The 27,037-nt window shown below is 38.3% G+C and overlaps 1 protein-coding gene across 6 annotated transcripts in view; it reads right to left on the minus strand.

Moving 5' to 3' along the window:
• PDS5A (PDS5 cohesin associated factor A) overlaps positions 1 to 27,037 on the minus strand; it is a 155,049-nt gene that overhangs the window by 44,838 nt on the left and 83,174 nt on the right. For all 6 annotated transcript variants that reach the window (XR_001741185.2, XR_001741188.2, NM_001100399.2 and 3 more), the window contains 6 exons: positions 22,549 to 22,664; positions 12,028 to 12,133; positions 9,293 to 9,453; positions 6,589 to 6,712; positions 5,286 to 5,444; positions 1,694 to 1,762 (listed from right to left, as the gene is read on the minus strand). Coding sequence is in view for 4 of the 6 variants with exons in the window: in NM_001100399.2 (NP_001093869.1) it covers positions 1,694 to 1,762; positions 5,286 to 5,444; positions 6,589 to 6,712; positions 9,293 to 9,453; positions 12,028 to 12,133; positions 22,549 to 22,664 (735 nt within the window). In the remaining 2 variants the exon portion in view is untranslated. The remainder of the gene's footprint in view (positions 1 to 1,693; positions 1,763 to 5,285; positions 5,445 to 6,588; positions 6,713 to 9,292; positions 9,454 to 12,027; positions 12,134 to 22,548; positions 22,665 to 27,037) is intronic.

Consider the following 27,037-nt stretch of genomic DNA (forward strand, 5'->3'; position numbering starts at 1 on the left):
CAGAGCAAAACTCTGTTTCATAAAAAAACCAAAACACACACACACACACACACACACACACACACACACACACACCCCACAACTGTACTGATTGTGGTGACTGAAAATAACTTGAGAGTTTCAGTTTTGTGGTATTGAAAAACTACTTTGAAGAAACCATCAAGTCTGATTCAGTCTCATTTAACATTGTGACCAAAAAAATGGGATTTTGTGTAATTATTGGTAGTCATAATTACTTAGAAATGTCTAGTCAAAAGATTGTTACCAATATATGTGAAAAAGCTAGCCAAAAAATCAAAGTATTATTTATTATATTTATTGACAACCTGGAAAAATGAACTGATAGAATATATGATGACTACAAAGCAACACAAAGTGAAAGATTATCAAAGAAGATGATACAATCTTATTTTAAATCCCAAATCTGCCACTTTTCAACTGAGCTTTACATCTATTAAATGTCACAAATTTAGTAACAATCATCTCTATCTGCTCTGTCACCCAGGCTGGAGTGTACTGGCATGATCACAACTCACTGTAGCCTTGACCTCCTGGGCTCAAGCGATCCTCCTGCCTCAGCTTTCTGAGTAGGTGGAACTATAGGTATGCACCACCACACCCGGCCAAATTATCATTATTATTATTTGAGACCGAGTTTCACTCTGTTGCCCAAGCTGGAGGGCGGTGGCGGGACCTTGGCTCACTGCAACCTCTACCTCCCAGGTTCAAGTGACTGTCCTGCCTCAGCCTCCGAAGTAGCTGGGATTACAGATGTGCAACACCATGCCTAGCTAGTTTTTGTATTTTTAGTAGACAAGGGGTTTCACCATGTTGTCCAGACTGGTCTTGAACTCCTGACCCCAAGTGATCTGCCTGCCTCAGCCTCCCAAAGTGCTGGGATTATAGGCGTGAGCCACCATGCCTAGCCCAACTAAATTATTTTTAATATTTTGTAGAGACATGGCTCACTATGCTGCCCAGGTTGGTCTTGAACTCTTGGGCTCAAGCGATCCTCCTGCTCTGCCTCCCAAAGTGCTGGGATAATAGGTGTGAAAAACAAATCAAAGTATTATTTATTATATTTATTGACAACCAGGAAAAATGAATTGATAGAATATATGATGATGATGAAGCAACACAAAGTGAAACAGATTATCAAAGAAGATGATACAATCTTATTTTAAATCCCAAATCTGCCACAGTGCCCAGCTTGACAATTACCTATCTTTGCCAAGTTAATATTCATATGCTTGTAGATAGTGGTGATGAGGCTGGATTTAAGATGCCTCTGAGCACCGTCATTCTATAAACAGTCTCTCTATAAAACAGCCTCATTAAGATTGCTTTAGCAGGCAGAAGACACTGACATGTAATAAACAATGACAACCACAATGTCTTCAATAAACCATTTTTTGCAATGGATTTTAAAATAAAGTACCTCCTTAACAAATGCTTATTAACTATTAGGTTTAATTAAAAAAGGCTCCCAGCTAGGCACGATGGCTTAAGCTCATAATCCCAGCACTTTGGGAGGCTGAAGTGGGAGGATCAGCTGAGCCCAGGAGTTCAAGACCAAACTGAGCAACACAGCAAGATCCCATCTCTGTTTATTAAATTTTTTAAAGGTGAGGAAGATAACTACAAAATGTCCCTTTTTTAAACATGAAGATTATCAAGGCCTAAACAAATTTACCTTTGCTAGTACTTCAGGGGAAACCTCTTCATCTGGAGACCACAGTTTTCCATTCTTTTCACCTGTTGACTATAGACAATTGAATAAATTTAGCTATTAGCATGAAAAAAAAAATTTATGTTTTTGCTGATTAAGTTTTTCATGTTGATCAACACAGCCTCTGAGAAACCTACGGGAACATCACCAACCAGAGCTTGGAAAAGGACAAAGTTAGAAGACTCATACTTCCCAATTTTGAAACTTACTATAAAACCTACAGTAATCAAGACAGTGTGGCTGGTACTGGCAAGGATAGACATATAGACTAATGGAATAGAGAACTCAGAAAACCCTTGCATATATGGTAATTCATTTTTGACAAAGGATGCCAAGACCATCTTTAGTGAAAGAACAGTCTCTTCAACAAATGGTGCTAGAAAAACTGGATATTCAGCCGGGTGCAGAGGGTCAAGCCTGTAATCCCAGCACTATGGGGGGATGAGGCAGGTGGATCACTTGAGGTCAGGAGTTTGAGACCAGCCTGGCTAACATGGCAAAACCCTGCCTCTTCTAAAAACACAAAAAAATTAGTTGGGCATGGTGGTGCATGCCTGTAGTCTCAGCTACTCGGGAGGCTGAGGCTGGAGAACTGCTTGAACCTAGGAGGCAGAGGTTGCAGTGAGCTGACATTGCGCCACCTCACTCCAGGCTGGGCTACAGAGTGAGACTCCATCTCAAAAACACAAAAGCAAAACAAAAAAACTCCTGGATATCCACAAGAAGCAAACACACAAACAAAAAAAGAAACTAGATTGTTAATACATATAAGAATTAACTCAGAATTAATCAAATATCTCAATTTAATAGCTAAAACCATAAAACTCTGAAAAGATGACATAGGAAGAAATCTTCATGATCTTGGATCTGGTAAATAGCTGACAAAGGTTTAATATACAGAAAATGTAAATAACTCTTAAAACTCAACAAGAAGCAACCCAACTAAAAGTGGGTGAAGGCAGCATGGGCAACATGGCGAAACCCTGTCTGTATAAAAAAATACAAAAATTAGCCAGGCATGGTGGCGTGTGCTGATAGTCCCAGCTACTCAGGAGGCTGAGGCAGGAGATATTGCTTGAGCCTGGGAAGCGGAGGTTGTGATGAGCCAAGGTTGCGCTAGTGCACCCCAGCCTGGGTGACAGAGTGAGACCATGTCTCAAAATAAAATAAAATAAAATAAAATAAAATAAGAGTGGGGTGGGGGAAGGAATTTAATACACAGCTCTCCAAAGAAGATATACAGGTAGTCAATAAGCACACAAAAAATATCCTTGACATCATCATTCATCAGGAAAATGCAAATCAAAACCACAATGAGATATCACTTCTTATCCACTAGTATGGCTGTTGCTTTTTTAAAAAGGAAAATGACATGTAACCCAACAATGTTATTCCTAGATATATACCCAAGAAATGGGAGAACAGGAACATAAATGTTTATATCAGCATTATTCACAACAGCCAACACGTAGAAGCAACCCAAGTGTCCACCAATCAACAAAAAAATGTGGGATATATACAAACAAAAATATACATATAAAAGAACACTGCTTAGCCACAAAAGGAACAACATTCTGATACATACTACAACATGGAAGAGCCCTGAGAACATGCTAAGTGAAATACAACAGACACAAAAGGACAAATATCATATAAGAGATACCTAGAATAGGTAGTCATAGAGTCAGAAGGTAGAACAGAGGGCAATGGAGAGTTGTTGCTTAATGGGTACAGAGTTTCTGTATGGGGTGATAAAAAATTCTGGAGATGGATGGGGTGGTGATGATTAGGTAACAATGTGGCTATTATGTTAGTGAATTTTAACACTTAAAAATAGCAAATTTGATACTATGTATAGTTTATCACCATAAAAAAAGACCGTCTGAAAACACAATCTATCAACAATCATCATTTAAGAGGTATCTTAAATTTCACATTTGTTGAAAACCACATCTATCGAAAGTAAAAATAACAGCAAGGATATGTAAGGGTAGAAAATGAGACTTAGGCCACGTTCTTCTCTTCTTGTCTGCTGCGTTCAAAAGTGGAAGGTGGTACAAATACAGAAGGGGCACTAGCAGGTGTCTTTAAGTTCCTGATACTGAGGCCTCAAGATTACCGAAACATGTGAGAGTTAGGAACTTTGGATAAGCTGGATTTGTGGCAAACTAACACTTAAATGAAAGTCATCCACAATGATCCAGCATATCTGTGTCTTTATTCAATAACAACAGATTTAATTTAGATCCATTTGGTAAAGCAGTGATTCTTTTATTTATTTATTTATTTTTTTGAGACAGTCTTGCTCTTGTCGCCTAGGCTGGAGTGCAATGGTGCAATCTTGGCTCACTGCAACCTCTGCCTCCCGGGTTCAAGCGATTCTCCTGCCTCAGCCTCCCGAATAGCTGGGATTACAGGCACTCGCCACCAAGCCCGGCTAATTTTTTTGTATTTTTAGTAGAGACAGGGTTTCACCATGTTGGCTAGGCTGGTCTTGAACTCCTGACCTCAGGTGATCCACCCACCTCGGCCCCTCAAAGTGCTAGGATTACAGGCGTGAGCCACCAAGCCCTGCCAGTAGTGACTCTTAATCAAGGTGTGTTTCCGAAATCATTTGGGGAGTCTTTTCAATCTATACATTCCAACCCAGAGGTAATAAATCAGAGCACACAGACATCAATAAATCTAGTGCCAAAAGTACAGTGTATTATCTTAAAAATTAGTCAAATTCAAGTCCACTTACTTTTTTTTTTTTTTTTTTTTTGAGACAGAGTTTCGCTCTTGTTGTCCAGGCTGGAGTGCAACTGTGCAATCATGGCTCACTGCAACCTCTGCCTTCTGGGTTCAAGTGATTCTCCTGCCTCAGCCTCCTGAGTAGCTAGGATTACAGCTGCCGTCACCACACCCGGCTAATCCACTTACATTTCTAACAATGTTTGATAAAACAAATTTTAGCCCGGCATGGTGGCTCACACCTGTAATCCCAGCACTTGGAGAGGCCAAGGCGGACGGATCACCTGAGGTCAGGAGTTCAATATAAGCCTGGCCAACATAGCGAAACCCCGTCTCTACTAAAAACACAAAAATTAGCCAGGCGTGGTGACAGGCACCTGTAATCCCAGCTACTTGGGAGGCTGAGGAATGAGAGGAGGCCAAGGTTGCAGTGAGCCGAGATCGTGCCACTGCATTCCAGCCTGAGGCACAGAGCGAGACTCTTGTCTTCAAAACAAAAAACAAAAATAACCCAATTCTAACATTCCAGAAAATGATAAACTGTCTTTTGAGGGTCAGGAAAATAGCTTTTACTTATATGTAACTTTCATGATTCACCAATCCCGTGTTCTAATTTTTGTTTCTTAAGTGTGAAATTCTAGTAGTAATAGCTACCATGAAATAAGGAAGTAGTTTCGAATTTAAATAAATAAAAAATAAGTAGAACCAATATAGAATAATTTAAAAGAAAAAGAGAATTACACAGAAACAGAAGTGTTTCTGTGATGAAGATGTAAACAGCCTTAATCTCATGATTCTCAATTTAATTAAATGAGAAACTTACCCTGTCATTCATTAGCAGATCTTTCACAATAAAATTTGCTACTACAGATTTCATTGGGGAAGCAAACTGATCTGGTGCTAACATAGAAATGTGGCCCAATGAAACTAATGGAGTTATAAGTTGTTCTGGCACATCAGCATTCAGACTCCTACTGAGTGGCTATAAAAATAAAACAGACAAAATTACCAATTTGTTTGATAAATATCTAGACACTCTACTGAAACAGTACATTTTCCTGAGTCCTCCTGAATTTACCATGCCCAAACCAATCTTCTCTAATACGATCATAACTAACTTCAACCATGTTAAGACACCTGGTTCTTAATTCACCTACTAAAATTTAGCAAGATTGAAAGAATGTAGAAAAAAGATAAAAGAAAAAATAAAATCCAACAAAAAGAAGTTTAAAGAAAAACATTTTTGCTTCATCAAATCAGCATTATTTTTGACTAATCTACAACAATGGATTTGCTATACCAGTGGTTTTCTTACCCTGTGGAAGCATTTTAAATGACCTTAAATCATACAAAGTAAGAGTTCACTGGGTTTTGGTCACACTATCTCCAATTTATGATAATAGGAATACATTTCTAATAGTAAAATGAGGCCAGTCATTATATGTAAAAAAAAGGGAAACAGGATTAATTTTCAGGTAGGGTTCTTAGGTACTTTAAACTGGATTGTTCAAAATTATCTACTAATACTTTCCGAGGATAAATGCACCACTGAACCAATAAGGCTAAAATTAAGTAAAATGTTCTAACATAAACACATAAGGCTAGGTGTGGTGGCTCATGTGTGTAATCCTAGCACTTTGAAAGACTGAAGTGGGTGGATCGCTTCAGTCCAGGAGTTTGAGACCAGCCTGGGCAACATGGCAAAACCCCATCTCTATAAAAAAATCCAAAAATTAGCTAGGCATGGTGGTGGTGCCTGTACTCTCAGCTACTTGGGAGGCTGAGGCAGAAGGACTGCTTGAACCTAGGAATTCGGGGCTGCAGTGAGCAGAGATTGCATCACTGTACTCCAGCACTGGTGAGAAAGTGAAACTTTATCTCAAAAACAAACTAAAAAACAAAAACCACAAAACCCTTCAATATGAGGTGTTTGAACATATAATCTGATCTACAGGCTGGGAATGCAGTACCACATAAAATAGACAGAATCCTTGCTCACAAGGAATTTATAGTCTAAGGTAGGACTTCATATAAACAGCTTTAAAAAATCTAGCTTCCATCTTCATCAAACTATAGAGCTTAAAAAATAAAGACCAATATAAACACAACCTATATATTAGATATACCTCAAAAATCTGTGCAAGCTGGACTTCTTTATTTGTGAATATGGCGTGTATACAGTGCACAGCCTGTTTTGCTTGGTGTGGAGTACCCCTCTTTGCTTTTTGATGTAAAATGGGAATTAAGGTCCTGCAAAAAATAATATAGTTGTTTTTTTTTCTTAAACCCATAAACCAACAAGTATTCCTTTGGTTGACTTCCACTTCCCCTATATGGATGGATGCTAGTAGAGAAGGCTCTCTTAAAAATTATCTGATCTAAAGAAAGTTGTAAAAAAGCTCCATCTCTGCCCCCAAGTATAAACCAAGAAATACAATGCCTCAAGAAAAAGCCTACTTCAGGAGACAATTTTTATTTTAAAGTTACCTCACAAATATGCAAAATAACAAGCAACCCTTAATTCATAATCTAAAGCTTACCCCATGACATATTTTTGCATTTACCTTCTAAGTAGCAATATTGCTAATTTTTCAATTCCCTTTTATAATCCCCTTCAGTTATTTCAAAGTAGCTACAGAAAGAGAGTAGCAAAAGGCCAAGTTGTATTAAACAGCTGAAATAATACTAGTGAAAGAAAGTATGCAAAGATACAGCTACATATATATCAGTAGAATGGCAATAAAAATATCTAACTATTATGTGCCAGGCACCATTCTAGGTATTTCCGCATGGATTAATTCAACTAATGTTCACATCCACCCAAAGAAGACTATCATAGTCATTACACAGATGAGAAAATTAAAGCACAAAGATGTTATTTAAGCCTCCTAAGATGACGAAGCTAGGAAACTGGGAGTTGGGATTTGAAAATTAGCATTTCTTTCAAAATCCACATACTTAACCTCTACACTGACAATGAAGAGTAAACTAAAACAGTCTTCTTTTAGGATGACAGAAAAACATAAAGCATTCTTCAAAAATTAAATGTTGATGACATGAAAAAGCATTAGGTAGAATGAAGAAAATAGTGTGCATATATGAACTTATAAAAAATAGACAAACACATCTAGTAGATGAACATTCATAGAAAGTATATATATCAAATGTTAATGGTGACTATTTCGTTATATTTTTTCTAGTTTCAGTTTGCTACAATGAACGTAAGTATTTTTATAATCAGAATAAAATTGATAAAACGAAACAAACATTTAAGGAAAGATATTTGTCATATATTTAATGTTATTAGAGAAGAGCCTATTTTATAAAGTTAGTGGCATCAAATGCAAGGGTGACAATGCCCTCTTATGATAATGGAAGGCTACATATGAAACCTATACTGCAGGCTCCAGGCCATGCACTTTAACCAAAAATGGGAACATATGCTAGTTGGTATGAATCTGATTTGACATGTATAAATATGCCTGAAGTTTGCCTCTATGGACTTTGGAATTATGAGATAGGGATGTCCATGACCAAACAGACTTCCTTGACTGAGTATTGACTATGCTTCTAAATGGAAGATGTCTTTCCTCTCTCCTATCTGTTTAGTCTTTCACCATTCCATTTACCAGACTGAGATTTCTTATAACACTGGTGAATGACAAAGGAAGATAGTTTCAATCAAACTGTTGTTAAATGTATTATTATTATTAGCCAAATAAAATAATACAGAAAGTCAACTTTAACCTTTCTTCTTGTTTTTTCTAGAGCAGTATAATCTAGTGATGCCATCAGAGTTGTTATTGAGGTCTTTAGCATTGTGCTTTTCTGCTTTCCAGTGATTATCTCCTTTCTTCTCCATTGGTCTTATGAATAAGGTATTTTATTCCTCACATCCAAAGTTAACTCTTCCACCTATGCTCATTTTCAACTGTGTCCTTTGGGGTAGAATTCCTCTAAGAATAGTTTCTTTGCCTTGAAAAAATGTATAGGATTTCCTCCCTTGAAAAACTCATCAAAAACTATCCTATTGTGTCAGTGATCTTTTTCTAATAATGTATAAAATTTATTATTTCTAGTCTATAAACTCCTTGAGGGCAGGGACTAATTGTGGTAACTTTTTATTATTAGCCAGAACAATGCGGAGAATGAAGAGAATGTACAATGGACACTGAATTATTTCACAAGTTAAACTATTAGCTCACAAATTTAATAAAAACTTCAGGAGACTGCTTGTTCTATGATTATCATGTGAGGAAAATGGTATGTAGTTGAATATACTCTGAACTAATTGCCAATACCCTGAACATATGATTCAACTGCCATTTGCAATGTATTGTTTCCTTCAAAAGATGTCTTCTGCATATTTTAAGTCTAAATATAACATCTCAGCACAAGTTTCACCTTAACCTTTTTAAGATGCCAAAGTGAACTATTTGCCCCATTTTTTGGTAGGATAGCAAAGTGACAGTTATTGAATTTATAACCCATTTATAGAAAAAAAGATGAATATACATGGATTAGAAAGACATTAGTCATAAATATAATAAAACACTAAATTCTGTGATAACTTTTGATTCTTAATATCTTAAAATACTTTTGTTATAAACAAACATGTAGTTTCAGTTTATTCTGCTGCCTGCATTCTAATGGTGGGAGAGGGGTGTGAAGCAAGGGAAAGACAAAGCAGAGGAGGACACAGAAAAGTAGCTTCTAAATCAAAGTTGTCTTTCTTCCCTCCTATCTTCCTACACAGAAGGAAAACAATGATTTTATGGTTCCCATACTTAGAAACTTTTGTATTTACCACGGGAGAAAAAATGTACTCACGATCGTATCTGGGGAAGGTCTGTTTCTATTTTGTGACCTGTATTTCTAAAAATTTGAATAGCAGCTTCTGCTACCTTGTCATCCTCCATTCTTAGGCACTGTAACAAGGACTCATATGTCTCTGCAGAGTGGAACGAGGTAGGATGTGTAAAAGACAGAACCTGAAAAAACAGATACAGCTTTAGAAGTACAGACAATGGTTTTAATCCATTAAAAAAGAATTACTTCCCGCAAAAGAAAAAAAAAATTAAATTCTGGGGTAAATATGCTAGCTACACAGAATAGAGATACATCTCCTAGCCGTCCTTGCAGTTAGTTATGGCTAATCAGAAATACTGTATGGTGTGGTAGCTTCCAGTTATTCCTTGACACAACTAACAGACAGCCTTTGTCCTATTTTCTTCTTCACCTCTTAGTCTACTCTGCTACTTAGAACACAAAACACATGGCTCCTTTTTTATGGAATGTGATTTACAATATTAATAACTATTATCAGTTTATAAATATATTGTATTTAGGTGAAGGAATGCTTACTTGAGATAAAACCTCCATACGTAATGACTCAATCTTTGTGTAACGTAAACAAAATGCAAACTCAGAGCTTTCTTTGACTGGCAAAAAGATAATCTATGAGAATTTTTTTTTTTCTTTTTTTGAGACAGGATTTCACTCTGTCACCTAGGCTAGAGTACAGTGGAATGTCACAGCTCACTGGGGTCTCAACCTCCCACCTCAGTCTCCTGAGCTGAGACTACAGGTGCACCACCATGCCCGGCTAAATTTTTTGTTTTTTTTGTAGAGATGAGGTCTAGCTATGTTGCCCAGGCTGGTCTCCAACCCCTGTGCTCAAGAGATCTTCCTGTCTTGGCTGGGATTACAGGCGTAAACCATTGTACCCAGCCAAAAAAATATCTGAAGTGAAATCTATCACTCAACATAATTATCAACAAAGAAGCCACTATTGTGAACTTTTAATTATGATTACAATATATAATTATTCCCTTATTATAACACCAGCACGAGCCTGTCCTTAAATAACTTTTAGCAAGTTAGATACATGTCTAAAGAGTTAACCTTCCATAAAGTAGAAACAATTCAGTTAGTGTAGTATCAAGATTAGGAAAATAGAGAAGCAGGGAGAAAGGGGAATGAGCAGATGGTCTTCATTAATTTTTCAATAAGCACTTATTTAATGGTCATTAAGTGTAGACACTGTCTCACTTGGCAAGGTTTGGAGTGATAATATTTACTTACGTGGTTTTAATTATTTACAGAAAATTGGAGAATTAAATTAGAAAAATGTAATAAAAAGCAATCTACTGGCCGGGCGCGGTGGCTCACGTCTGTAATCCCAGCACTTTGGGAGGCCGAAGCGGGCTGATCACAAGGTCAGGAGATCGAGACCATCCTGGCTAACATGGTGAAACCCCATCTCTACTAAAAATACAAAAAAAATTAGCCAGGCATGGTGGCGGGAGCCTGTAGTCCCGGCTACTTGGGAGGCTGAGGCAGGAGAATGGCGTGAACCTGGGAGGCGGAGCTTGCAGTGAGCCGAGATCATGCCACTGCACTCCAGCCTGGGCAACAGAGCAAGACTCCATCTCAAACAAACAAACAAAAAAAAGCAATCTATTAAAAAATGTTACCTTAAAGGTGGTTTCACTTTTAAAACAACTTAAAAATACAACTCAATTACTAAAAACAATTAAAATCTTATTCATGAGGCATCATATCAATTCTATTAATGAAATGATTTTTTTTTCTTTTCTTTTTCGACAGTCTCACTCTGACGCCAAGCTGGAGTGCAGTGGTGTGATCTCAGCTCACTGCAACCTCCACCTCCTGGGTTCCAGTGATTCTCCTGCCTCAGCCTCCGAAGTAGCTGTGACTACAGGCGTGTGCCACCACGTCTACCTAATTTTTGTATTTTTAGTAGAGACGGGGTTTCCCCATGTTGGCCAGGATGGTCTCGATCTCTTGACCTTGTGATCTGCCCGCCTCGGCCTCCCAAAGTGCTGGGGTTACAGGCATGAGCTGCCGAGCCCAGCTGAATGAAATGATATTTAAGACCCTTGGAATATGATCCCATCATTCTTTTTCTATCTAACATCCATTGCACTGGTTTGTCTCTTCTCCTGTATGTCACAGTGGTATCATGTCTCTTTGCCTTCAATTTCTTCCCTTCTTTTACTCAATCCAATGAAAGCTCTATCAAGGGCTGCAGCTGGTTGTAAGCCAGGTTAAAAGCCCGTGACACTACCTTTCTTACCCAGTGGCACTCGACAATCTGGAACCAACCTTGTCTCCCATCATTCCCCAAAGCACCCCTTTTTTCTAGTCATGCCAGTCTCCCAAGAATCCCACAAATATACCAAGAAATACTCCCTTTAATGATGATATTCCCTCCTCTAGATTTAGTCACATACCCTGTCCACAAAGTCTAAAGTCACATCTTGCTATTACTAAGTTAAGAATAGATTGTACAGTAATCACTACCAAGCATAGAAGGCATGGAAATGATAAACAGTGAAACAAATATTAATTTATAATGTAAAATAATTACATTATTATATTATGTTGTAAAAACATTACTTTTACATCATCTAATTTCCAACACAAGTTTTAAATCTTTCAAATAGTTTCCTGTGAAATAAGCCTGACTCTTGCATATCCTGAAGGGAAGGCAAATTATGACCCCACGGAAATACATGGCAACAAAACTGTTTCAAAAATACCTTAAGAAGTTCAAGTCCTGAACGGATAGCTGTATCTGGACTTACACCCTCCTCTTCATCATCTGCTGTCCCCTCTATTGACTTATTCATCAATTTCACTAGTGCACTATAAAAAGAAGAAAATATAAATCAGTAACCACTGTAGTAGTAACTATATCCTAATCACACTGTGACAGAACATATATAGAACCTTAAAATATTAAATTCAAAGGAGTTTCTGTGGGGGAAAAAAGTTCAACCTTGTCCTCTACTTGATAACTAAACTTCTACTTAGTTTATCCCCCTAAAAAACTTAATGTATAAGAGTAACTCTTCTAAAAAATAACAAAACTAAAATTAAATGACACAGCACTCTGGTAATATATTCACATAAGTAATTTAATATTCATTTCCATATATACAGAGATCATTTTCAGTTTTAAGAAAAATAATAATATAGTAGTTGCTAAGTGAGCAATGACAACTGACTCAAAAAAATACAAATAATAAACATACACATGGACAAATGAATTAATCACTGATAATTTACTGAATCAGTAACTTTATTTCTATAAACTTACAGCAAAGAAGCAAGTCATTGGAAGCATCATGCTGTATTTATAAAGATTCATTAATTAGGAACAATTTAATTGTCAAAAATTAAGGAATTAGTTTTTCAAAATACCTACCACCAGGAAATAGAATATTATCTGGTCAATAAAAATCAGATGATGTAGCAACATGGTACTATTTTAAGTAAAAACAAATGTGACTTCTGGTTTTGAGATCAGTAAACTGAAGAAGATATTACCCTATTATGAGAACATTCAATTATTATTACAAATGTTCAAAACAAGATTTTGGCTAATTTTTTTTTCCTTTGGTGTTATGTCAAAGTATTCATTAAAAAAAATTTAAGTACCAAATATGCATAGGATGCAGATGTTGAAATTCTTTTCACTTATAAAAAATTAACAAAAATTATAAATATTCATGGGGTACACAGTGATGTTTCCAGACATATAATGCATGGTGATCAGATCAGGATAATTAACACATCCATTATCTTAAACACTTATCATTTCTTTGTGTTGGGAACATTCAATATTGTCCTAGCTATTTGAAACTATGTTATTGTTAACTATAGTCATCCTACTGTGCTATGGAACACTAGAATTCATCCACCCATCTAGCTGTGATTTTGTATCCTTTTTTGTAATTTTGTATTTCTCCCTAATCCTCCCTTCCCACTACCTTTTCCAGCTTCTTGTTTCCTCTGTTCTGTTCTTTGCTTCTGAGAGATCTACTTTTTTTTTTTAGCTTCCACCTACCAGTGAGAACATCTGGTATTTAACTTCCTGTTCCTGGCTCATTTCACTTAACATAATGTCCTCCAATGCCATTCATATTGCTGCAAATGACAGCATTTCATTCTTTTTTTTATGGCCGAATAGTATTCCATTTATTTATGTACCATATTTTCTTTACCCATTCATTCCTTGGACACAGGGTGATACCAAATCTTGGCTATTGTCAATAATGCTGCAATAATAATGAGTATACGGATATCCCTGATAAACTTATTTCTTTTGGATGTATACCTAGTAGTGGGATTGCTGGATCATATGGTAGTTGTATTTTTTAGTTTTTTTTTTTTGAGGACCCTCCATACTGTTCTCCATAATGGCTGTATTAACTTACAGATGTTGAAGTTTAAACTAAGTTTAGCACTTACTTTCCTTTCCCTCTTACATCACAAGAATTATTTTAAAATTCATTATCTTCAGTTAATCTGATAACATTAAAAAAACAAATTGCTGTATATGTGTATAAACATTAACTTAAAGTATAATATACCACACAATTCCCTGAATTAAAATGTACAACTCAATGGTGTTTACTATATTCACAAGGTTGTACCACCTAACTGTAGAACATCCCATCACTATCCTAAGTCAAACCCCTTACCTGTTAGCAGGAACTCATTCACCATTACTCCCTCCAGCCCTAGGCATTTACTAATCTATTTTCTCCCCTAAACACTTGCCTATTCTGAACATTTCATATTAATGAAATCATACAATTTCATAGGGTTTGGCTGTGTCCCCACTCAAATCTCACTTTGAACTGTAATAAGCCCCACATGCCAAGGGCGGGGCCAGGTAGATAACTGAACATGGGGGCAGTTTCCTCCATATTGTTCTTGTGGTACTGAATAAATCTCAGGAGATCTGATGGTTTTATAAAGGGGAGTTCCCCTGCACATACTCTCTTGCCTGTCACCATGTAAGATGTCACTTTGCTCTTGCTTCATCTTCCACTGTGATTGTGAGGCCTCCCCAACCACGTGGAACTGCAAGTTCATTAAAACCTCTTTCCTTTATAAATTACCCAGTCTGGGTGACAGAGCCAGACTCTGTCTCAAAAAGAATAAATAAATAAAACAAAATAAAATAAAAATGTAAAAATCTGAATTTGCATTTCCCAAATGAGTATTAATACTAACTGTCCTTTCTTGTGCTTATTTACCGTCTTAACTAGTACCTGTTCAAATATGCCCATTTTAAAACTGAGTCATCTGTCTTATTGAGTAGTTCCTTATATAGCCTGGATATAATCCTTTACCAAATACATGCTTTTCAAGTATTTCCTCCCAGTCTGTGGCTATTATGTTCCCTCTAAGAAATCTTTGCCTATCCTATATGTTTTCTGGAAATTCTAGCTCTGACTTTGTATTTTAAAGATTCATTCAATTTGAGAAAATAATTCCAAATTGAGCTTTTTATTAAGAAATCCTAGTCAACATTGCTTGAATTTAACAAAATTACAAGTGTGTTTCAAAAAAATTTATAAATATGTAAATACATGTGATAGGTTCCATGCACACGATTATTTCATGAGTATTTATTAACTACCTGTCATGTGCCAAGTCTTATGGTCTACCTGAGAAATACAGTATGAAATGAGAGACATAATCTCTGCTATCATTGTAATGTTGGTAATCACCAGTATGCGTCAAGGAGCTATAAGCGAAAGAGCAAAGTCTTCAAACCAGGTTCACAGTCCTTCCTCTTATAAAGTATTTTTCCTCTTTTATAAATTAAATAAATAATATATATTTCACAGGGCTATCATGATGAAAAAGACGATCTCAAGTGCCTCTTCAAAACTGCTTGGGAAGTCTATGCTATACAACCACTGTTACAAATCTTCACCATTCTAAACGAAGTCTAAATACTCCCATTGGCAACTTCATCTTTAACAGAAGGAAGAGTAGTAATGGACGCCTTGAGTGAAAACTCTTCTAATTTTCCATACCTAATCTTCTAACCTCCTCTAATTTGTGTGTATTATTTTGTCATGTCATAGGTTAAGATGTCCTTCTTCTTGCTCTGCTTCCTTAGGAATGCTGCTCCCTCATACCTATATTCCCCTTCCCTTATCTGCAATCTGTCTTCTTTTCAACTAGCATCTTTTTTTTTAAAAAAAGAAGAAGATGGAGTCTCACTTTTTGCCCAGGCTGGAGTGCAATGGTGCGACCTCAGCTCACTGCAACTTCCGCCTCCCAGGTTCAAGTGATTCTCATGCCTCAGCCTCCCGAGTAGCTGGGATTACAGGCACGCACCACCACACCTGGCTAATTTTTGTACTTTTAGTAGATATGGGGTTTCACCATGTTGGCCAGGCTGGTCTTGAACTCCTGACCGCAGGTGATCCGCCCACTTCGGCCTCCCAAAGTGTTGGGATTACAGGCGTGAGCCACCACACCCAGCCTTCAGCTAGCACCTTTTCAAGGTATTTAAATATTCAAAATTATTTAGTCAAAAACAACAGCAGAAGATTCTTCTTCAAGCTTACTCCGTTTCCATCATCTTATTTTTCTGTTACTTTTCTTTTGAGGCTCAAACTCTGACTTTAGCCCAGTTTTTTTGTTTTTGTCTTTTTTTGAGACACAGTCTCATTCTGTTGCCCAGGAGAGAGTGAAGTGCCGTGATCTCAGCTCACTGCAATCTCTGCTTCCTGGGCTCATTCTTCCACCTCAGCCTCCCACATAGCTGGGACCACAGGCGCATGCCATGGTATCCTGCTAATTTCTGTATTTTTGTAGAGATAGGGTTTTGCCATACTGCCTAGGCTGGTTTCTAACTCCTGGACTCAAGTGATCCACCCACCTCCGCCTCCCAAAGTGCTGGGATTTCTGGCGTGAGTCACCACACCCAGCCTTCTCCTTTGCTTTTTTTTTTTTGAGTCTCGCTCTGTCACCCAGGCTGGAGTGCAATAATGTGATCTTGGGTCACTGCAACCTCCGCCTCCTAGGTTCAAGTGATTCTCCAGCCTCAGCCTCCTGAGTAGCTGGGATTACAGTTGCGTGCCACCACGTCAGGCTAATTTTTGCATTTTTAGTAGGGACGGGGTTTCACCATGTTGGTCAGGCTAGTCTCAAACTCCTGACCTCGTGATCTGCCCGCCTCGGCCTCCCAAAGTGCTGGGATTACACGCATGAGCCACCATGCCTGGCCTCCTTTGCTTTTTATCCAAGATTGGCGCTGTCTACACTGATTGTCCCCACTGGTGCTGTCAATTTATCTCCTAAGCAGGGTTTAGAAGGGTGACAAGGCTATGTATCCCTTTAACATGCTCAAGCCTCAGTGTAGCCAAGTGGTACCTAGTGGCTTTCTATTGAGCTGGGCCAGTAAAAAACAGACTCAGTAGTCTTCTCTGCCTAAGTAATACTGATCACCTTCTCTGTGTACCACGATGTACATGTTGGAAAGGACTGTCCTATGCCTTTCTGAATCCATGGCATTCTGGCTTTGTCCTTGCTACCGCACAGAAACTGCTCTGTTCATTGTGATTTTTTCCCATTTCCTAATCCATTCGATGATTCTTAGTATTTAATCAACTTCTGGATATCATCTGACCCCTCCTTAGCCCCTCTTTGGTTTCTGTGATAACACTCTTTCCCAATTTTCTGCTTTTGACTATGTCTGCTCAAAACTTAAAAAGAAAATTTAAGTCCGTTATCTTCTGCCAGCCTCTTAATTGCTAATTTCCCTCACGATTCAGTCCTCAACCTTTTCCTTTTTAAAATTTTACTTTCACCTGGGTTCCAGCCATCATTACAATGACTACTTCATTTTCATCTACTTCCTATAGACCATTAACTAACTGTAGCACACATATGTCAAGGTGTATGGACATATGTATAGGGGGGAAATTGATTATATTTAGAATGATTTTATATTAACCCCAATCCTTTCTTTCAAAATTCTAGGCCAGGTGCAGTGGCTCATGCCTGAAATCCCAGAAATTTGGGAGGCCGAGGTGGGCAGATTGCTTGAGCACAGGAGCTCGAGACCAGCCTGGCCAAGATGGTGAAACCCTGCTCTACTAAAAATACAAAAAATTAACCTAGCATGGTGGCGCACACCTGTAGATACAGCTACTCGGGAGGCCGAACCCGGGAGGCAGAGGTGGCAGTGAGCTGAGATCGTGACACTGCACACTCCAGCCCAGGTGACAGAGCAAGATTCCTTCTTAAAAAAAAAAAAAAAAAAAGAAAGGAAAAGAAAAAGACAAAAGAAAGGAGAAGAGAAGAGAAGAGAAAAAAAACTTCGGCATGGTGGCTCATGCCTGAAATACCAGCATTTTGGAGGCCAAGGTGGGCAGATCACTTGTGCCCAGGAGCTCGAGACCAGCCTGGGCAACACGGCAAAACTGCTTCTCTACTAAAGAACTTTTAAAAAAATTAGCTGAGCATGGTGACGCACACCTATAGTTCCACCTACTCAGGAGGCTGAGGTCTGAGATCGTTTGAGCCTACACAACAGTGAGCCAGGATCGTGCATTTCAGCCTGGGCGACAGAGTGAGATCGTGTATCCAAAAAAGTAAAGAGAAAAAGAAAAGAAAATCTTAATAAAAAAGGGCTGCGTATAGTGGCTCACGCCTGTAATCCCAACACTTTTGGAGGCCGAAGTGGGTGGATCGCTTAGGTCCAAGAGTTCGAGACCAGCCTGGACGGCATGGTGAAACCCTGTCTCTACCAAAACCAAAACAAAGCAAACAAAAAACAAACAAAAAAAAACACCCTCACAAAATTAGCCAGTTGTGGTGGCATGTGCCTATGGTCCCATCTACTCTGGAGGCTGAGGGAGGAGCATCACCTGAGCCCAGGAGGTCAAGGCTGCAGTGAACTATGATCATGCCACTGTACTCCAGCCTGGGTGACAGAGCAAGACCTTGTCTCAAAAAAAGAGAAAGAAAAAAAAGCCAATTTTGATTTTTTTGTATGTTGAGAGATGAGAGATAGCGGTCTAGTTTCATTCTTCTGCTAATCAGTTTTCCTACCACAATTTATTGTAGAGACTATCCCTTCCCTCCTTGTATGTTCTTGACACCTCTGTCAGAAATGAGCGGGCCAAAAAAGCACCAATATGTATCTGGGTTCTCAATTCTGTTCCTTTAGATGTGTCTAGTTTTTATGCCAGTATCATGTTGATTTGGTTACTGTAGTTTTGTAGTATAAAGTCAGGTAGTTTGATGGCTCCAGCTTTTGTTCTCTTTCCTCATATTGCTTTGGCTATTTGAGTCTTTTGTGGTTCCATGTAAATGTTAGGATTGTTTTTTCTATTTCTGTGAAGAATGTCATTTGTATTTTGATAGATATTGCATTTAATTTGTAAATTACTTTGAGTAGTACTGTCATTTTAACAATATTGATTTTGGCCGGGCGGGGTGGCTCACACCTGTAATTCCAGCACTTTGGGAGGCCGAAGTGGGCGGATCACCTGAGGTTGGGAGTTTGAGACCAGCCCGACCAACATGGAGAAACCCCATCTCTACTAAAAATACAAAATTAGGCAGGTGCAGTGGCGCATAACTGTAATCATGGCTACTTGGGAGGCTGAGGCAGGAGAATTGCTCGAACACAGGAGGTGGAGGCTGTGGTGAGCCAAGATCGCGCCATTGCACTCCAGCCTGGGCAACAAGAGTGAAACACCATCTCAAAAAAAAAAAAATTTTTTTTTAATTTTTCCATTTCACGAGCATGGAATATCTTTCCATTTTTTGTGTGTTTCCGTTAATTTCCTCCATCAGCGTTTTAAAGTATTTCTTGTAATAGATCTTTCACTTATTTGCTTAAGTTGATTATTAGGTATTTAATATTCTTTGTAGCTATTATAAATAAGATTGCTTTCTTGATTTTTCGGATTGTTTGCTGTCGGCATACGTAGATGCTACTGAGTTTTGTATGTTGATTTTGTATCCTGCAACTATACTGAATTCATTTATCTGTTCAAAACAGTTTTTCGGTGGAGTCTTTAGCTTTTTCTGTGATAATGTCATCTGCGAACAAGGCTAATTTGACTTCCTTCTTGCTAAATTTGGATGGCCTTCTTTTCTTTTGACTAATTGCTCTAGCCAGGACTTCCAGTAATTTGTTGAATAAAGGTGGTAGAAGTGGCTTCCATATCTTATTCCAGGTATTAGATGAAAGCCTTTCAATTTACCCCATTCAGCACAATGTTCAGTGTGGGTGTGTCACATATGGCCTTTATTATTTTGAGGTATGTTCCCTCTATACCTATTTTGTTGAGGGTATTTATCATAAAGTAATGTTGAATTTTATTGAATGTTTTTTCAGAACCTATTAAAATGACTATACGGTTTTTATTCTTGGTTCTATTAATATGATGAATCATGTTTATCGATATATGATTTATGAACCATCTCTGCATCCCTGGGATGAATTCCACTTTATTGTGATGAATATTTTTAATGTGTTATTGAAAGCAGGTTGCTAGTATTTTTGAGGATTTTTGTATCTATGTTCATCAGTGATAGACCCCTATCCCTCACCCTCTAAAAAAATCAAATCAAAATGGATTAAGACCTAGTGGATGAAACTACTAGCAGAAAATGCTAGGATAATGCTTAAAGACAGTGATCTGAGCCAAGTTTGTTTGTGTTAACATCCCAAAAGTACAGGCAACTAAAGCAAAAATAGAAAAATAGGATTACATTAAGCTAAAATGGTTCTGCACAGCTAAGGGAGCAATAAAAAAAGCGAAGAGACAACCCACAGAATGAGAAAATATTTGCAAATTATCCCTGTGTCAACGGATTAATAACCAGAACATGTAAGGAGTTCAAACAACTCAATAGCAAAATAACAAAACAAAACAAAACAAAACAAAAAAACACCAGACAAACAAAAAATCAAAACCATACAAAAAAATCCAATTTAAAAGTGGGAAAACAGGCCAGGTGCAGTGGCTCACGCCTGTAATCCCAGCACTTTGGGAGGCTGAGGCGGGCAGATCACGAGGTCAAGAGATTGAGACCATCCTGGCCAACATGGTGAAACCCGGTCTCTACTAAAAAACAAAAATTAGCTGGGCATGGTGGCATGCACCTGTAGTCCTAGCTACTCGGGAGGCTGACGCAGAACTGCGTGAACCTGGGAGGTGAAGATTGCAGTGAGCCAAGATGGCGCCACTGCACTCCAGCTGGTGACAGAGCAAGACTCCGGCAAAAAAAAAAAAAAAAAAAAAAAAGGGCTTTTTATCAACAAGACAGGGAATAACGGATGCCGGCGAGGATGTAGAAAAAAGTGAACCCTCATACACTGTTGTTGGAAATGTAAATTAGCATAGCCACTAAGGAAAACTGTATGGAGGTTCCTCAAAAAACTAAAACTGGATCTACCATATGATCTAGCAATTCCACTACTGGGTATATATTTTTTAAAAAGGAAATTAATATATTGAAGAGATATCTGCAGTCCTATGTTTATTGTGTCACTATTCACAATAGCCAAATATGGAATGAACCTAAGTGCACATCAACGAAGAAAGAAAATGTGGTATATATGTACAATGAAAAATTATTCAGCCATAAAAAAAGAATGAAATCCTGCCATTTGTAGCAACATGTATGCAAATGGAGCTCATTATGTTAAATAAAACAAGCCAAGAACAACAAAAAAAAAACAAATATTGCATATTCGCAGTCATATTTGAGAGCTAAAAATGTGAACCTCATGATGACACAGTAGACTGGTAGTTACAAGAAGCTGGGAAGGGTGAGAAAGGCGGAATGAAGAGAGGTTAATTAATAGATATAGAACGACTAGTGTTTTAGAGATCGGTAGAGTGACTACAGTTTAATAGCTAAAGAGAATTTGAATGTTTCTAGCATAAAGATGAATATTTAAGGTGATGTATATCACCAATACACTGATTTGATCTTCACAAATTGTATAAATGTATTAAATTATCAGACATAGCCTGAATATATGTACATTTATTATGTTATGGGCTGACATGTGTTTCTCCCAAATTCATATGAATTCTAATCCCCAGTATCTCAGAATGTGACTGTATTTAGAGATAGGGCCTTTAAAGAGATAATCAAGGTAAAATAAGATTGAATGGGTGGGGCCTAATCCAATATGACTATTGTTCCTGCAAGAGATTAGGACATAGACATGCTGCGTGCACAGAGAAAAGACCACAAGAGGACACAGTGAGAAGGAAGCCATCTGTTTATGAAGATGAGAGGCTTCAGGAAAAAAATTAAAAATTGCTGATACCTTGGATCTCAGGCTTACACCTCCAGAACTGTGAGAAAATAAATTTCTTTTGTTCAGGCCAGGCACTGGGGTATTTTGTTATGAAAGCCCTAGCAAATGAATATAATCAGCATTTCAATACAGCCACATCAGTGATTCACCTAAGGTGAAATAAACAGCGAAGCTTGGGTACTGGAACTGATCTCTGAATTCTAGGCTGTTTGGAAAAAGAACCAACAAGTGCTGCATAGTAACTGAATATGGAAAGATATATAGCTTATCTACTGGAAAAATGATTGGTGCAAGAGAAAAGCATTACCAGACGTTTGAAAAGTCTGAAATCATGAGAATACGTAATAAAAAATCAATAGCTCTTAACTAATGTCTATGATGCCAGGCTGCTTACCTTTTATATATTACCTCAAATTAACATAATCATCCAACAAGATTTTATGCCCATATTAAAGTTGAAAATAAATGAAAATTCAAAGACAATCCAAAGCCACAAAGTAGACTTATGTTTTGAAACCAAATTTGCCTAAAGATAATCCTCTCCTCTTTCCAACATACCATTCTGTTCTCACACATCAAATGAACAGTGGTATAATATGTACTACAGAATATTACAGGGCCATTAAAATGCTTAAGAAAACTCAGAGGTTGGTCAACAGCCACACAGATCTAAAATATTCCTTTTTCTGTCTTTCTCTTTGTTCTAAGTTTTCTTTAATGAGAACGCATAAGCTAAAAATAAACATAAGAACTCTTTAAAAACAGAAAGCATTATATAAAGCCAAAGATCATAAAATGAGAAGGCTTTCCCTTCAACTTGAATGATGTACAACCCTGTGATTAAAAAGAGACATACAGAGGTTTTCAGGTATCTTTAGGAGCCCAGAATTTAAATTAACAACATTGTCGTTGCAGATTATTATTTATTTTTGAGCGAATATACTTCTTGGCTTACCTTATGGCTTCTGAATCAATGTGCACAGGTGCGATTCTTTCCAACAGAAATTTGACCATCTCTAGAAAAGGATTTGTTGGTTGCTTAGGATTTGCAAGTTTCCGGGCTATTTCTCTCTATAGAAAGAAAGGAGTTTTACCAAAAACGTGATTTGCTTTCATATTTTTGAAAAGAAAAATGACTAAGGAACTGAAATATTCAAAACCAGCATAAGTGGTTAAGAATTGTCTGCTCTAGACCCTGACTAAAATTTTTACACCCCGAGCAATGACTGAAAAATCTGGACAGCAGAGAAAAGAAGTGGATGATGTGGTTTCTGAGTGAACACAGCCTTGCCTCACAATTCTTTGATGAAATTATTGGTTGATATAGCAACTTTTTTTTTTTTGAGACGAGTCTAACTCTGTCACCAGGCTACAGTGCAGTGGCACGATCTCGGCTCACTGCAACCTCCACCTCCTGGGTTCAAATGATTCTCCTGCCTCAGGCTCCAGAGTAGCTGGGATTACAGGCACGTGCCTCCATGCCCAGCTAATTTTTGTTATTTTTGTAGAGACGGGGCTTCACCATGTTGGCCAGGCTGGTCTTGAACTCCTGACCTCAAGTGATCCACCTGCCTCGACCTCCCAAAGTGCTGGGATTACAGGCGTGAGCCACCACACACCTGGACTATGGCAACCTTTTTAATACTCTAATTTAGAATAAAAACAATTTGTACTTTTATGGGTATGCTTTATTGGTTTTAATTATTTCATAATTTGACAGAACATTGTGTTTTGTTTCAGTTATTTTTTTTTTTGAGCTGGAGTCTCGCTCTGTCAGTCACTCAGGCTGGAATGCAATGGTGCAATCTTGGCTCACTGCAACCTCCGCTTCCCAGGTTCAAACAACTCTCCTGCCTCAGCCTCCATAGCAGCTGGGTTTAAACATGCACGCCACCATGCCCGGCTAATTTTATATTTTTAGTAGACATGGGGTTTCGTCATGTTGGCCAGGCTGGTCTCGAACTCCCGAACTCAGGTGATCCAACCCGCCTCGGCCTCCCAAAATGCTGGGATTATAGGCATGAGCCACTGTGCCTGGCCAGTTAATTTGTTTCTTAAAAAATACATATTCAGGCCGGGCGCAGGTGGCTCACGCCTGTAATCCCAGCACTTTGGGAGGCTGAGGCGGGCGGATCACCTGAGGTCAGGAGTTCGAGACCAGCCTGACCAACATGGAGAAACCCCATCTCTATTAAAAATACAAAATCAGCCGGGCTTGGTGGCGCATGCCTGTAATCCCAGCTACTCGGGAGGCTGAGGCAGGAGAATTGCTTGAACCTGGGAGGCGGAGGCTGCGGTGAGCTGAGATCGTGCCATTGCACTCCAGCCTGGGGAACAAGAGCAACTCCATCTCAAAAGAAACAGAAACACATATTCGTACATATATATATATATACTTGCAAAATTTTTCAGTTCTGGAAGAACATAGGTGGAGGATAAATGAGAACTCTGTACACCCTTAGAATTTTATTTATAAGTTAGACATACAGTTATGGAAGGCTGATAGATAACCCCAATAATAAAAGTAACTCTCAGCCAGGAGCAGTGGCTCATGCCTGTAATCAAAGCACTTTGGGAGGCCAAGGCAGGTGGATTGCCTGAGCTCAAGAGTTTGACACCAGTCTGGAAAACATGGCAAAACCCTGTTTCTACCAAAAAATACAAAAAATTAGCCAGGCGTGATGGTGCATGCCTGGGGTCCCAGCTACTCAGGAGGCTGAGGTGGGGGGGATCACTTGAGCCTGGTAGGCAGAGGTTGCAGTGACCACCTGAGATTGCACAGCTGCACAGACTCTGTCTCAAAACAAAAAACAAAAAACAAAAAAAAGTTAACTATCCATTTAAGCTCAAAGATTATGGTATTAGGCCGGGTGCAGTGGCTCATGCCTATAATCCCAGCACTTTGGGAGGCCGAGGTGACGGATCGTTTGAGGTCAGGAGTTTTGAGACCAGCCTGACCATTCTCAGAGGCCATTCTCAGATTTGTCTTCTCTTTCATTTCTTCTCTACCTCCTCCAAGTGATGTAATTGTGCTAATATATAGAACCAGGCCTGAATCCCAACACTTCTGAACACAACTGCAAAGACGCTATCTTCTTCCCTAAAGCATCTCCTCTGATATCCAGTCAGCCAAACTGAAAATATAGCAGTCATTCTTCACACAATGGTCTAATTCCTATTCATCCTTTAAGACTCAACTTAGGAGTCACTTATTCTAGAAGAAGCCATTCCTGGACCTATTTCCACCCCTGCCTGGAATGAGTAATGCTTCTTTATTTTACCAAAGCACACAATTCAATGGAAATATTTGTCAGCCTCTGTCACTTATTCTGCAAGCTCCATGAGAAACCATGTATTATAAAATTTATTTAATCATGCAGTGAATTATAACAGTGTGTGCTTGATCAAGAAAGAAGATATTTGGACTTCTGAAGATATAATGCATATCCAGGTAACTAGGTAGAGGAGGGTTTTTAAAAGTGTAGTCCATAAACCACTCATGTTGAAACTTGGTTAAAAGATGGAGAGATTCATGATGCTACATCATAACCTATTTTAAAGATGCCTACTCTTTGTAAGGGTAAGACCTATAAAAATGACCATTTATTGAAACCCTGTAGGCAGTGCAGGGGGGCCCTGCATTAGGCCACATATAAAATTTCATTTTACATTATTCTTTTAAAAATTCTATGAGGTTGATAATATTTATAGGTGAAGAAAATGAATAAGGAGGCTTGAAAATACTGAGTAACTTACTAAAGGTCATACTGGTAGTAAACGATATTCAAACCAAGGACTGTTTCATTAAATGTCAAATAAACAAGCTTCCTGGAAAATATTAAAATTTGGGGACCACTCTCATGGGGAGGGGGGCAATGGAGCATAAACTATGACGCACAGCTGAAGCTATGGCAAGTATGTGGTCCTTCTCTAGGGTCAAGGTGTAGAAACCTAAAACCTGAATTCTAAAGGGAAAGTAAATCTATATATCACATTTCAATTCCACTGCTCACTCTCATTCATTATATCCCCCACCCCACACACAAATACACGTCTCTTTTGATAATCTTTGCTCAAAGTATGTTTGCTAAGATTTTTCAGAAATGGAACTTGGACAAAGAGGGAAGAAAATATTAGATTTCTATGCCTACTAACTCTCGTATCAAGTAATATCTACCTCTTGAGAAGTGAGATATGAAAATAAGGAGGTAGTGACAAATACGCATTAGGGTACAGAGAAGGAACTCTCAAGGATGGAATGCAAGCTACATAGAATGAGAGAAACTAAATTTTACATTTGCATTATTTTTCTTTATTCTTCTACATCAGAAAAGGAATGGGGATATTAGAGGAAATATGTAAATAATATTCAGTAGCCCATAGGGGAAAGGACAAACTCATAAAGGTACTCTAGCAGAGGTTTGTTTTCATGTGTGCCTAAGGGAGGTATTCTAAGTCCCACTTTACGTATGAGAACACATAGTTAAATAACATACTCAAGTCACACAATGCTAATATAAGAGCTAGGAAAGAAGGTATAATGAACTCATGCTCTTACCACTGCAAGTGCAGTATTCATTTCTACCTCACTGGTTCCTAATATCAAGAGCACTGATTGGCTATACTGTGTGGCTGTTGCAGTCACAGTGTTGGGATTACAACAGTGAGCCACCGCGCCCAGCCTTTTCAAGCTATTTCATTGTCTGATCTAATTATAATAGTAGATTCTCTGCAGGACACAGTACTCTGGAACTAGAATTCTAAATGCCAAAGAAGTCAATGAAACTTTTAAGCGTTTTCAGCAAATTACTCAGCTCAGAAGTACAAAGCTTATTGGGCATGGTGGATCATGCCTGTAATCCCACTACTTTGGGAGGCCAAGGTGGGTAGGATCACTTGAGTCCAAGAGTTCAAGACCAGCCTGGGCAACATGGTGAAATCTCATCTCTACTAAAAATACAAAAATTAGTCAGGCATGATGGCGCATGCCTGTAATCCCAGCTACTTGGGAGGCTGAGGCAGGAGGATCATTTGAGCCCTAGATGCAGAGGTTACGGTGAGCTGAGATTGTGTCATTACACTCCAGCCTGGGTGACAGAGCAAGACCCTATCTCAAAAAAAAAAGAAAAAAATAAGTAAGTAAATAAAATTTAAAAAAGAAGTGCAAAGGTTGAGGTTGTCTGGGCATTTGGCACATCCACATTCATAGCCCTGAGAGACAAGCCCACTCTTCTCTTCCCTAAATTGGTTTTCCTCCCCATGTCCTCCTAATTATTGGTATTTGTAATGGTATTCAGATCTCTATGCTGAATAAAAGATACATGTTCTATGCAGCTAGACCTCTCCACATATACATCTATTATAGTCCTTATCCTTTATAAGTTATTTTAAAACCATCAACTCTAATCCCTTCTAGAACAAAGTTAGACATATGTAATTGAAAT

This window comes from Homo sapiens, chromosome 4 (assembly GCF_000001405.40).
Source record: "Homo sapiens chromosome 4, GRCh38.p14 Primary Assembly".
NCBI classification, from domain to species: Eukaryota; Metazoa; Chordata; class Mammalia; order Primates; family Hominidae; genus Homo; species Homo sapiens.